The following is a 13,741-nucleotide window of genomic DNA, read 5'->3' on the forward strand; positions in this document are numbered from 1 at the left end:
AAAAATGGACTGGGGACGTCTGAAATTTCCAACTACAGGATGACTTGATAGATACACAAAGTTAATATTTAAAGGACAAAATACTATGTTTCATTTGTCATGTTTAAATTCTATTAAAATACTAGAAAGATGGGAAATAACTAAATAAGACTTTTAAAAACAAAAAAGTATCATCACTGAAATCAAATACTTCTGGACACGTAGAACATAATTTTGGACACAGTGAATTTTGGACACATGAACTGCAAGAAAGATCTGAAGTGAGACTCGGGATACAGAATAGAAGTACCGGGGCACAGAGTCCAGTCCAGCAGAATGGAGACTAATTCTGTGGCCCGGTGGGTGTGTTTCTGTTGTCTCTGGCCCCTCTTTGTCCTGGCTTCCGTCCTTGGTGTTTGGACAGAAGCCCCACCTTGTACTTGAACATAATCATGATAGGGACAGGAGGCGGGGAAATTCTGGGCAGAAGAGGGTGAGTCCCCAGTGAGGGCCTCACCCTCAAGCCTGGAATTATAGCCCAAAGTAAGAACATGCATTCCTGTTTTCCCACTCAAATGTTGCTTTTTCCAAAACCACCCATGGCCCACCCCCACCCCCATCCTGCACCCATAAAAACCCCAGGCTTCACTGGCTCCACCAGCAAAGAGCAGAGAAGAGGAGAAGCAGCTGGACATTGGAGACTATGGTTGGACATCAGAGGGAGGCAGCTTGACTTCAGAGGGGCAGCTTGATGGTGTTGCTTTGGAGAGGAGTCCAGCTGGAGATGGCTAGACTTGGGGAAAATCACCTTCCAGCTCCATCCCCTTGCCAGTTCTCCTTCCTGCTGAGACCCACTTTCACTGGCAATAAAATCCTCCATGTTCACCACCCTTCCATTTGTTTGTGTGACCTGATTTTTCCTAGATTCTGAACAAGAGCTCAGATACCACGAGTGCACATGCAAAAGGCTGTCACACTGACCCTCTGCCCTCACTGGTGGAAAGCAGCCGCCTCATGCGAAAAGGCAGAGGGTCCACTGAGCTGTTAACACTTAAACCATCTACGGATGGCAGAGCTGAAAGAGCATTGACTGTAACACTCCTTCAGGGACTTTGGGGGTCATGGGTTCCCCCCACAGATGCTGCCACGGGGCTCCCATGGGGTTTTGCTCCTGCTGGCACCCAAAAGCACTCACCCCGGCTCCTGCACCTGCTCACCTGCATGCTCCCTCCCACGAGGGGTTGAGCACAATGGGTTCGAATGAGTGGAGTTTGTCCCTGCCGGCGCCAAAGTGGCCAGCTAGCTCCAGTGCCCACACTCCAGTTCCCGCCTGTGAAGGGGTCAGGGGAAATTTCCTGCTCATTTATGGGGCCTCATTTGGGATACGTCAGCAGGGTGAGTAAATGCGAATCTGCCAGATCTGTCTCTTCTTGTCCTCAGACTTTGCTCTGAGCTATGCCACTTGCAGGGGAGAGGATGCAACCCTGCCATCTCTCTCTTTCTTTTACGTAAAAGGAATGTTGGCTCTGTTCCCTTCATGGAGATCTAGCCATTGCCTGGGACTGGAATAAAGTCCTGGGGCCACTGAAGGCATCTGGTCGAGGCCATACCTCGGTGTTGCCAGAAGGCCCCAAGACTGTACCCAGTTCCTGACTGCCCATCAGGGGGCTGGCCAAGACCCCCAGAATTTTCCATGGTATCTTTCCTTTCTTCTTTCATGGTTTGAAATAGCTCCTATCTCTTCTGTCATAATGTTAAGGGTTTTGCTGCAAACTGCAGAAATATTGCTAGAGCATTTGGCCCAGCAGTCAGATATGCAATTCAGGACAGTGTGATTTCCACTTGTCCTTAGAGGTGCCGTCCCCATCCCCAGCCCAAAAGCCACAGGCACGTGTGGCACATGGTGGCCCCCTCCTCACCCCCCTCCCTTCCTGGCTGGGGTGCTTGGGCATGTCTGCGGCATGCACATGCCATGCCACCAGCCATGGGCAGTGAGAGAGAACCATGGCTGCTGCCAGGGCCCCAGGGCAGTCTTGAGGGCAGGGACCCCGTGCAGCCTGCTGGCCAGTGTTTGCCACTCGCCGCCCCCCCTGCCATGTGCCCATAGAGTCTTTCCTCCCCTGGCCAGGGAGTTCATCTCGGTCCAAACCGTGGAAGGGATACAATGATTAAAGGAACCCGTTTGCAGAGAGCAAGAGGTTCCTCCCACAGCTGTTTTTTTCTTTCCTTTTCTATGCAAGAGGGTTATTTTCCTGCCTCAGCACTCCGCTTATGATGGGGAAACAACCAAGGAGCCACCCCCACCGGCTAATAACTGCAAGTTTGGCAGGGCCCATCGGGGAGTCCATCTAAAGGGACCCATGCACCCCCTCAGACACCTTTTTGTTCCAAACTCGATTCCAAGTTTTGGGCTGAAGCCCTAGAAAGAAAAACCAGATCTGAGGGATCCAAAGCGAGGCAACGGGCACAGTGTAAATGGTCAGGACAGATTCCTGCTGGCTCAGCCCATGCTTCATGGAAGGAGGCCATGCTCCATGGCATAGATAAGGCCCAGGGAACCTGAGGGCTGCCGACAGTAGTGGGGGGTGGAGATGTGGGTGAGTGCAGACAAGTCCTGTTGTGTAGGCACCCCCTGCTTCACAGGTGCGGGCCATAGTGGCACCTGTGGGTGGTATCTGTCTAAAGGTCGATGGGTCTCAGGGATCAAAAAACAGAAGAGAAAAGGGGGATGCTTGCTTTCTCTCTCCCTCACACCCCAAGTTTTTGCCGAAAGAAGGAAGGGAAATGAGGAATGCCTATTTCCCTGTCTTTCCCTGTCTTTCAGAACCAGCTATCTTCACCACCCCCAGTCTATACTCCTCTGGAGTGTATACTGAATCACTGGGACTGCTTTGACCCTCAGATTCTGGAGGAAAAACACCTCATAGTCCTCTGTACAAAGGCTTGGCCAAATCATGATCTGCAGGAAGGTCTGGCTTGGCCTCAGGAAGGAACCATTCATTTTGATACCATCCTGAAGTTGGAACTTTTTCCGTAAACATGAGGGCAAATGGTCTGATGCCCCATATGTGCAGGCTTTCTTTACCTTGCAGGGTAATCCAGACCTTTGCCGACAGTGTAGGATTGATCCATCCCTCCTCTTTGCCATCTCAGGAGAGGCTGCAAGGGGCAATCCCAGGGAACTATAGAAATGAGCCCCGGAGGCACCTCCAGCAGGGGAGCCAGCTCCCACCAGCCCTGCTCCTCCCGATCCACCCGGTCCTCCCTCTTCAGCTTCTCTCTCTCACTTGCCCCCTCCTAGAAATCCTCACCCTGGGCAAGCCCCAGTGTCACACTTGCCCCTCCAACAGATGCTTGGTGAATTTGGCCCCCATGAGGTCCAGGTCCCCTTCTCTCTACAGGACTTAAAGCAAATCAAGGGAGATCTTGGCAAGTTTTCAGATGACCCTGACAGATATATATAAAGGCTTTCCAGAATTTAACCCAAGTATTTGAACTCTCCTGGAAAGATGTTATGTTAGTTTTCAATCAAACCCTGAGTAACAGCTGAGAAGCAGGAGGCTCTGCAAGTGGCAGAGGGGAGGGATTTGGGGATGAACTTTGTATCACATATAGTGTCAGGGAAGGGGTCAAACTTTATCCAACTGGAAGAGAAGCAGTAGCATTGGATGACCCTAAATGGGATCCCCATGATGACATGGGAGAATGGAAGAGGAGACACTTTCAGGAGTGCATAATGGAGGGCTTACATAGGACTAGCACTAGGCCTCTCAATTACACCAAGCTATCCATGATTGAACAGGGATTTGATGAGAATCCCACTGCCTTCCTGGAAAGGCTAAGGGAGCCCTTGGTAAAGCACACCTCTCTATCTCCTGATTCAGTCAAAGGAAACTAATCCTAAAGAATAAATTTATTACTCAGGCAGTCCCTGCAGAAACAGGCCCTGGGATCAGATAGTACTTTAGAGAACCTCCTGAAAGTGGCCACTTCAGTCATTTATAATAGAGACAGGGAGGCTCAGGAGAGAGAGAGAGGACGCGCAGGAAAGAGGCAGAGGCTTTAATGGCCACCATGCAGGTCCACAAACCCCAGAATTCCTGAGGTTCAGCTGTTAACTGCTACAGACGTGGCAAGCCAGGGGATTTTAGAACGAATTGCCCTGGCAGCATGAGGAAGCCACTTCGTCCCTGTCCAATCTGCAATGGGGACCACTGGAAAGTGGATTGTCCCTGAGAATGCTGGTCTCTGAGTCCAGAGCCAATCTCCCAAATGGTCCAGCCAGACTGACAGATCCTGGGGCTCCTCTCCCTGGCTCTGGTGGTCTAGACCACCATTAGCATTCAGGAGCCCTGGGTAATCCCGGAAATCGAAGGAAGGAAAGTGGACCGCATTCTGGACACCAGGGCTGGTCTCTCGGTTCTCCTCTCCAATCTGGGTCCCTTTCCTCTGTTAGCACAACCGTGAGAGGCATCTCAGGAAGACCTTTAACCCAATAGTTCTCCCAACCCCTTAGTTGTAGTTGAGGAGACCTCTTGTTCACACATACTTTTCTAATTATGCCTGAAAACCCAACTCCTCTGTTGGGCAGGGATATTCTGGCCCATATGGGGACCACCATCCTGATGGCCCCAGGACAAACTCTTTATCTCCTCCTTGTGGAGACCAATATTAACCCAGAAGTTTGGGCAATTCAAGGGAAAATGGGCCAAGTTGGCTGGGTGCCGTGGCTGACACCTGTAACCCCAGCACTTTAGGAAGCCGAGGCAGACGGATCACCTGAGGTCAGGAGTTTGAGGCCAGCCTGGCCAACATGGCGAAACCCTGTCTCTACTAAAAATACAAAAATTAGCTGGGTATGGTGGTGCACACCTGTAATCCCAGTTACTCGGGAGGCTGAGACAGGAAAATCGCTTGAACTCAGGAGGCGGAGGTTGCAGTGAGCCAAGATCATGCCACTGCACTCCAGCCTGGGTGACAGAGTGAGACTTTGTCAAAAAAAAAAAAAGAAAAGAAAGAAAGAAAGAAACTTGGCCAAGCCACAACTGCCATACTGGTCTGGGTCCACCTTAAGTTCTCCTTTTTTAACCAGAAATAATATTCCCTGAAACCAGAAGTTAGAAAAGGACTAGAAGCCATCATTGATAACTTAAGGTTGCAGGGCCTCCTCAAACTCTGCAACAGCCCTTGTCATACCCCAATATTGGGGGTACAAAAACCCAACGAGGAATGGAGACTAATTCAAGACCTCCACCTCGTTAATAAGCCTGTGGTTCCAATTCACCTGGTGGTTCCCAATCCATATACCCTGCTAGGTCAAATACCTGAAGGAACTAAATGGTTTACTGTCCTGGACCTAAAGAATGCCTTCTTCTGCATATTGTACACCCTTTCAGTATTTGTTTGCATTTGAGGAGCCCTCTAACTAAACCACTCAGTTGACTTGGACAGTGTTACCTCAGCGGTTCTGCCCACTTGTTTGGGCAGGCATTGTCAAGAGACCTCTCCAAGTTCCTTTATCCTCAGGTTAAAGTTTTACAATACATAGGTGACATTCTCCTCTGTGCTCCAACTGAGGCAGTCTCTCAGGAGGGCAGAAAGGCTCTTCTTAATTTTCTGGCTAACAGAAGATATAAGGTTTCAAAATCTAAATCTCAGCTCTGTCAGACTTCAATGAAGTACCTAGGCCTGGTCTTATCAGAGGGGACCAGAGCATTGGGTGAAGAGAGGATTAAATCCATCTCCTTCTTTCCCCTCCCCCAAACCCTCAAGGAACTAAGGGAATTCTTAGGCATTACAGGATTCGTAACTGGGTACAATGAAATAGCTGGGTATAGTGCATAACTGGGTACAGTGAAATAGCTCGTCCCTTATATCACCTAATAAAGGAGACTCAGGCAGAAAAAACTCACTGTCTAATTTGGGAACCAGAGGCTAGAAAGGCCTTTGACCAACTAAAGCAAGCCCTGCTTAAGGCACTGGCTTTTAGTTTCCCCATAGGGAAGATGTTTAATCTTTATGTGTCAGAAAGAAAGGGAATGGCCCTGGGAGTTCTAACAGAGGCCCACAGTCCAGCCCAGCAGCCTGTAGACTACCTAAGTAAGGAACTTGATTTGATAGCCAAAGGATGGCTAGCCTGCCTCTGGGCAGTTGCGGCAGTAGCCTTGCTGGTACTAGAAGCTACTAAGTTAACCATTGGGAATAACGTAACTGTTTATACCCCACATAATGTGGAAGGACTGCTGTCTTCTAAGGGGAGTCTCTGGCTAACAGACTACTGCTTCCTCAGGTATCAAGGTCTGTTATTAGAAGGATCTGCAGTCAAATTAAGAAACTGTCTCTTCCTAAATCCAGCCACCTTCCTCCCAGAGGAAGCTGGGGAGCTTGAACATGACTGTGAACAGATAGTAGTACAAATCTATGCAGCCAGGGAGTACCTCAAGGAAACCCCCTTAGAGAACCCTCACTCTTTATGGATGGAAGTTCTTTTGTAGAGCAAGGGATCCATAAACCAGAGTATGCAACAGTTACTCTGAATGATATTGTTGAGAATGCGTCTCTTTCCTTGGGCACAAGTGCTCAACTAGCTGAGCTAATCACCCTGATGAGGGCACTAGATTTAAGCAAAGGGAAAGCAGTTAACATTTATACTGATTCTAAGTACACTTTCCTAGTCCCCCATGCCCATGCCGCTACCTGGAAAGAGAGGAACTTCCTCACAGCTAATGGGTCTCCCATTAAATACCATCAGGGAATTAATAGACTATTATCCTCAGTTTTCCTTCCACAGGAAGTGGCAGTAATACAGTGTAAAGGCCACCAAAAAGGGATGGATGAAGTAGGCGAGGGAAATAGGTTGGTGGACCAAGCAGCTAAATCAGCACTGAGAGGGCCTCTGATTTCTGATACACTTGAAGCCCTACTGATCTGGGAGGGCCCCATAAGAGAAATAAAACCTCAATATTCTCCTACAGAAATAAATCGGGTCACCTCTCCAGGATATATCCTTCAGCCCTCAGGATGGCCACAGTGTTGGTAGAAGAGCTGAGGCAGGACTGGCTTGTCCGTCATAATATAAAAGAGTTTTGGAAGATGTCCAGGGTCCAGGGTCTAAAACCCCTCGTGGCCTTTGGAACACCAAGCTCTGTGCCAAAGTGTGGAAGGCTGCCTTGCCGCACCACAAATCTAAGCCCATGGCTTGGATGGAATCCAGGGCTCAGGGCATAAAACCCCTTGTAGCCTCCGGAATGTGCACAGACTTGTTGCTTGCTCTCCCAGGCGTGAAAACATGTTCTCCATTATCTCAAGCAGCAAAGCATACTGTATATGCGTCAAAGAAAATGCTAAACCATCAGAGCTGTATTTGATGCACCCCTACCTTTCTACCCCAACGTCCTCACCTGTTTACCCCCACATCTGCACATCCTCACCACCTGCTTTTTTGTTTGATCACCGATAAATAGTGTGGGCTCCGAGAGCTCAGGGCATTCGCAGCCTGAATACCAGCGTTGGCCCCCTGGACCCACCTTATGCACTCTTAACTTGTCTTTTCTCATTCCTTTGACTCCACTGGACTTTGTAGCCCCCATGGCCTGGTGTTTGGTCTGATCACCCCAACATTTCTGGCACCCAACGTGGGGCTATGAAGACCCCAGTGAAGGAACACTAGAGCATGCGGAACTGGAGGACGCATTGTCAGAGGACACCCGAGGATGACTGAAAGAAGCTCGGTGGGAAAGCTGAGCACTCGGAAGAAACAGGGTAACAACAGGACAGAATGAAAGTAAATATTCTGTTTATTTAAATTTCTTAAGGCATTTATTACGGAGAGGGGGAGTGAAAGTTAGTACTCAGAATTTATTAACACTGTTTAATACAGTAGAGCAGTTTTATCCATAGTTCCCAGAACAAGGGACAATGGAATTAGATGAATGGGAAAGAATTGGCAGAGATTTTTAAAAGGCGCATAAAGAAGGAGCCAAAATTCCAGTTTCTGTTTGGTCAGTGTGGGCGTTGATAAAGGCAGCTCTTGAACCATTTCAAACAGATGATGAGGCAGATTCAGATGAGAAAGAGGTAGATGAGTGTAAAAAATTAACTTCAGACTCTGAATATGAGGAACAGCAACCGGAGAAAATTAAAGAAAAGAAAGGGACGCTGGAAAGGGTATATTTTACTAGCCTGTCGGTTCCACCTGCTGAATTAAGTGAATGGCCACCTCCTCCCTCTTTCCTTAATGGGCGAGAAGATGAATTAGCTGTAAAACGTACTGCTTCTGTAGTGGCAACATTAAATATGGGGAACAATTGCTGGTGCTATACAAAATTCTTTTCAGAAGGCTGGAGCTGAAGGAGAGCTAGAAGCATGGCAATTTCCAGTTACTATAATTCAGCAAGGAGGACAGAACATTGCTAATTGGGCCACTTTTCCTTTTAAGATGTTAAAGGAATTTAAGCAAGCCATTAGTCAATATGAGCCAAATTCTCCTTTTGTACAAACTTTACTAAAAAATGTGGCTCTTGATAATAGATTAATACCATATGACTGGGATACTTTAACAAAATCTGTTCTCACTCCATCTCAGTACTTGCAGTTTAAAACTTGGTGGGCTGATGAAGCTCAAACTCAGGCAAGAGAAAACACACAAGCACAGTTGCCTGTGCCTGTTTCCTTTGAACAGTTAATGGGGTTGGGCCCTAATTGGGGCCAATTAGACAATCAAGCAGTAATGAAAAATGTCGCCATTGTTCAGTTACGCACTGTGTGCTTACGGGCATGGAAAAAAATAAATGTTACAGGGAAAAAATATCCTTCTTTCATTAGACCTATGAGAGGGAAGTCTCATTTGGCTGAATATATTAAGGCTTGCCATGGCATTGGAGGTAACTTACATAAGGCTACTCTTTTAGCTCAAGCTATGGCTGAATTAAAGGTGGGGAAAAATATGCCTTGTTTCTCAGGCTCTTGTTTAATTGTGGGCAATTTGGACACACAAAAAAAGGAATGTAAAAAAAGGAAATCAACAGGCAAGGGCTACTACCAGTAAGCAACAAAAAAGTCCTGGTATCTGTCCTTGACGTAAGAAGGGCAATCACTGGGCAAATCAGTGTCATTCTAAAGTTAGCAAAGATGGGCAACCTCTTTCAGGAAATGGGAAGAGGGGCCCACCTCGGGCCCCTCAACAAACTGAGGCATATCCAGCACAGTCAGTGTCCTTACAAACGTACAGCAATTGTCCCCTGCCACAGCAGGCAGTGCTGCCATAGATCTCTGCAGCACAATTCCCATTTCCTTACTTCCTGGGGAGCTATCAAAGAAGGTCCCCATGGGAGTTAGGGGCCCTTTACCCTCAGGAACAGTTGGTCTGTTGCTTGGAAGGTCTAGCTTAAATTTAAGAGGCATCACTGTACATACAGGAATAATTGATTCTGATTATACTAGAGAGATTTAATTAGTTATTAGTTCCTCAATTCCATAGTCTGCTTCCCCAGGAGAAAGAATTGCTCAGTTGTTACTGCTACCTTATGCAAAACTGGGAAGCAGCACAGTAAAAAGAATAGGAGGCTTTGGTAGTACAAATCCAGCAGGAAAAGCTGTATATTGGGTTAATCAAGTGTCTGACAAAAGACCTATTTGTACAGTAACTATTCAAGGTAAAGATTTTGAGGGGCTAGTAGATATTGGAGCTGATGTTTCTATTATGGGTTTAAATCAATGGCCCTGGCATTGGCCAAAACAAAAGGCATCCATTGGTATTGTTTATAGAGTAAAGGCTGCCTCAGAAATTTTTCAGAGTTCTTTAATTTTGCCACGCTAAGGGCCAGATGGCCAAGAAGGGACAATTCAACCTATTATTACACCTATTCCTGTCAATCTATGGTGTAGAGACTTATTACAACAATGGGGTGCTGAAATATCTATTTCTATGGATCAGTATAGTAATAACAGTAAACAAATGATGAGAAAAATGGGATATCTCCCAGGAAAGGGACTGGAAAAAATGAAAGTGGCCAAACAGAACCTTCAGAACTAAAAGGGCAAACAGATCGAACTGGATTAGGCTATCATTTTTAGGAGTGGTCATTGCTGAGCCTCCGGCTCCCATTCCTCTTATTTGATTAACTGCCAAACCGGTTTGGGTGGAGCAATGGCTGCTGAAACAGGAAAAACTGGAGGCTTTAAAAAAATTGGTACAGGAACAATTGCAAAAGGGACACATAGAGCCTACTTTCTCTCCTTGGAATTCTCCTGTGTTTGTTATTAAGAAAAAATCAGGGAAACGGAGAATGTTAACAGACTTGAGGGCTGTTAATGCTGTGATTCAACCCATGGGCGCACTGCAACCAGGGCTGCCCTCTCCAACAATGATCCCAAAATACTGGCCTCTCATAGTAATAGATTTAAAAGATTGCTTTTTTACCATTCCTTTAGCAACTCAAGATTATGAAAAATTTGCTTTTACTGTTCCCACTAAAAATAACAAAGAACCAGCGGACAGATACCATTGGAAAATACTGCCACAATGCATGTTAAATAGCCTGACTATTTGTCAAACTTATGTCAGAAAAGCTATTAAGCCAGTTAGAGAACAATTCAAAAAATGCTATATTATCCATTACATGGATGATATTTTATGTGCAGCTGAAACTAGAGAAGAATTAATGCTATGCTGCAAACAATTGGAAAAGGCTGTAACTGCAGCGGGATTAATCATAGCCCCCGATAAAATCCAAACTTCTACTCCCTTTCAGTATTTAGGAATGAAAGTAGAACAAAGTACTATTAAGCCTCAAAAAGTTCAAATTAGAAGAGATACTTTAAAAACTCTAAATGATTTTCAAAAATTATTAGGAGACATAAATTGGATTCGTCTCACTTTAGGCATTCCTACTTATGCTATGTCTCACCTCTTTTCTACCTTATGAGGTGATTCTAACCTTAATAGCAAATGCTCTCTATCCAAAGAAGCATTAGAGAAACTTCAATTAATTGAAAAAAATTTCAACAAGCCCAAGTGACTCGAATTAACCCTATGCAGCCATTACAGTTTTTAGTTTTTCCTACTAAACATTCACCTACAGGAGTTATTGTTCAACAGAATGATCTGGTTGAGTGGCTTTTTCTACCTCACAATACAGCCAAAACGCTCACTCTGTACTTAGATCAAATTGCTGTACTAGTAGAACAAGCAAGGCTGTGCACAACAAAGTTAATGGGATATAATCTAAATCAAATTATGGTTCCATTAAACAAACAACAAATTCAGCAGGCTTATATTAATTCCCAGGAATGGCAAGTTAATTTGGCAGGTTTTACTGGTGTTCTTGGATAATCATTATCCTAAATCCAAAATATTCCAATTTCTTAAGTTAATATCATGGATATTGCCCTCCATTACTCAAAAAGCCCCTATTGAAGGGGCCATTACTGTTTTCACTGATGGATCTAGTAATAGAAAAACCTCATTTGCAGGACCTCAACAGCAAGTTTTTCAAACTGACTTTGCTTCTGCTCAAAGGGCTGAACTTATGACTGTGATAACAGCGTTAAAAACTTTTAAACAACCAGTAAACATTGTTTCTGATTCAGCCTATGTAGTGCAAGCCATGCAAAATATTGAATGTGCCTTAATTCAAAATGTGACTAATGACCAACTTAATCTTTTATTTCCTTCTTTACAGCAAGCAGTACAACAAGGCATTCCCCTTTCTATATCACTCATATGAGAGCACATACTAACCTCCCTGGACCTTTAACTAAACTTAATCAAAGGGTGGATAATTACATGGGGAAGAGGATTTGTTTGTGTTTATCCAGGTGACAATCAGGTGCCTGTGTGGGTGCCCACCAAACATCTGAAGATCTATTATGAGCTACAGCAGGAAGAGAGGACTCTGGGAAGAGCCAGATATAAGCAATGTCACAAATAAACATCTCAGAGATGAAGGAGAAAACCAATCTCCCCAAAACAATGCCCCCTGTCAGCAAGAAGTAGCTATGATCAGTCATCGTTCATATTCCAACAGCAGTTAGATGTGCCTCTTCTGAGGCAGGGAGTGATAGGGACAGGAGGCAAGGAAATTCTGGGCAGAAGAGGGCAGGTGCCCAGTGAAGGCCCGAACCTGAAGCCTGGAACCACAGCCCAAAGTGAGAACATGCATTCCTGTTTTCCCGCTCAAATGTTGCCTTTTCCAAAACCACCCATGGCCCGCCCCCACACCTCATCCTATGCCCATAAAAAACCCAGGTTCCACTGGCAGACAGCAGAGAAGAGGAGAAGCATCTGGACATCAGAGAGTACAGTTGGATGTTGGAGAGAAGCAGCTTGACTTCACAGAGACGGCTTGATGGCATTGCTCCAGGGGAAGATCACCTTCCTGCTCCATCCCCTTTCCAGCTCCCCTTCCCACTGAGTGCCACTTTCATCAACAATAAAATCCCCTGCATTCACCACCCTTCAATTTGTGTTACCCGGACGCCAAACAAGAGCTGAGGTACCATGGGAGCAGATGCAAAAGGCTGTCACACTGACCCTCTGCCCTCACTGGTGGAAAGCAGCCACCTCATGAGAAAAGGCAGAGGGCCCACTGAGCTGTTAACACTTAAGCCATCTGTGGATGGCAGCACTGAAAGAGCACTGACTATAACATTCCTTCTGGGGCTTTGGGCGTCATGGGTACTTCTCCCAGATGCTGCCGCAGGGCGCATGCAGTTTTGCCCCTGCTGACACCCAAAAGCACTCACCCTGGCTCCTACAACTGCTCACCTGCGTGTTCCCTCCCACGAGGGTTGAACACAAGGGGTTCGGGTGAGTGGAGTTTTCCCCTGCTGGTGCCAAAGCTGTGGGTAGCTCCAGTGCCTGTACTTCAGTTCCTGCCCACGAAGGGGTCAGGGGAAATTTCCTGCTTCAATGGTAGCAATATTTTGAGGCCTGCAAGGTGGGCACCTTCCCCAGAGGCTGAGCATGTGCTTCTGCCAGGCCCTGGCTGGAGTCAGTTTATTACACTTAGCAGTGAAGGAAATAATGTACACAGTGGTCCATTTCCAAGACAATGTGCCTTGAATCAGCTTAGGTCAGCAAACTACAGAAGAAACAAGATATACTAGGCCCCTGCCTGCTTTTCAGCCTCCCCCTGCCCCCTCTCCCACTCCCCTCTTAGTTGCCCTCACCCAAACCAAAAAAGTTTAGTCTAAAATGAAAGTTTACTACCCTGCAAAATAGTTTGCTTTGTCTGTTCTTATCAGCCTGCCCAGCTACTTAGGTCATAAGTCAAATACTTGAAGAGCCCCTGAGCTAACTAGGATTGCAATGCATTGTGGGCTGCAACAGAATGCAACAAGACAACCCTAAAGAAAACGTCTAAAGCCCCTGCCCAACAACCAATAGGTGACATCCAGGAAGGTTGTGACCCCATAGTACTCAGCCTATGAGGAACCAGGGGAGGGACCTGCACACTAGGGGATAAATTGCTTGTTGAAACTGTGCTGGGTGTGCCTGCTCATCAGGCACCCAATCTTGCAAGACCGTCATTAAAATCTCACTTTCGGGCCAGGCACAGTGGCTCACGCCTGTAATCCTAGCACTTTGGGAGGCTGAAGTGGGTGGATCACAAGGTCAGGAGTTCGAGAACAGCCTGGCCAAGATGGTGAAACCCCATTTCTACTAAAAATACAAAAATTAGCCAGGCGTGATGGCGGGCACCTGTAGTCCCAGCTACTTGGGAGACTGAGGCGGGGGAATCACTTGAACCTGGGTGGCAGA

The 13,741-nt window shown here is 46.5% G+C and overlaps 1 long non-coding RNA gene across 1 annotated transcript, besides 1 other annotated feature; it reads left to right on the top strand.

The window, feature by feature from the left end:
- Window positions 1–1,202: 1,202 nt before the first annotated feature.
- Window positions 1,203–12,434, top strand: LOC105370685 (uncharacterized). The gene is made up of 3 exons (XR_944245.2): window positions 1,203–1,374; window positions 7,562–7,762; window positions 11,661–12,434. It is a non-coding gene; the product is annotated as an uncharacterized LOC105370685 (long non-coding RNA).
- Window positions 1,953–2,459: an enhancer, noted in NCBI's record as "H3K4me1 hESC enhancer chr14:103631281-103631787 (GRCh37/hg19 assembly coordinates)". NCBI's record gives its function as "activates a minimal SCP1, AML or CMV promoter by ChIP-STARR-seq in primed H9 embryonic stem cells {active_cell/tissue: H9 hESC(primed)}" and the evidence as "EXISTENCE:reporter gene assay evidence [ECO:0000049][PMID:30033119]".
- Window positions 12,435–13,741: the final 1,307 nt, after the last annotated feature.

The sequence above is a fragment of the Homo sapiens genome, chromosome 14 (assembly GCF_000001405.40).
Source record: "Homo sapiens chromosome 14, GRCh38.p14 Primary Assembly".
Taxonomy (NCBI): domain Eukaryota; kingdom Metazoa; phylum Chordata; class Mammalia; order Primates; family Hominidae; genus Homo; species Homo sapiens.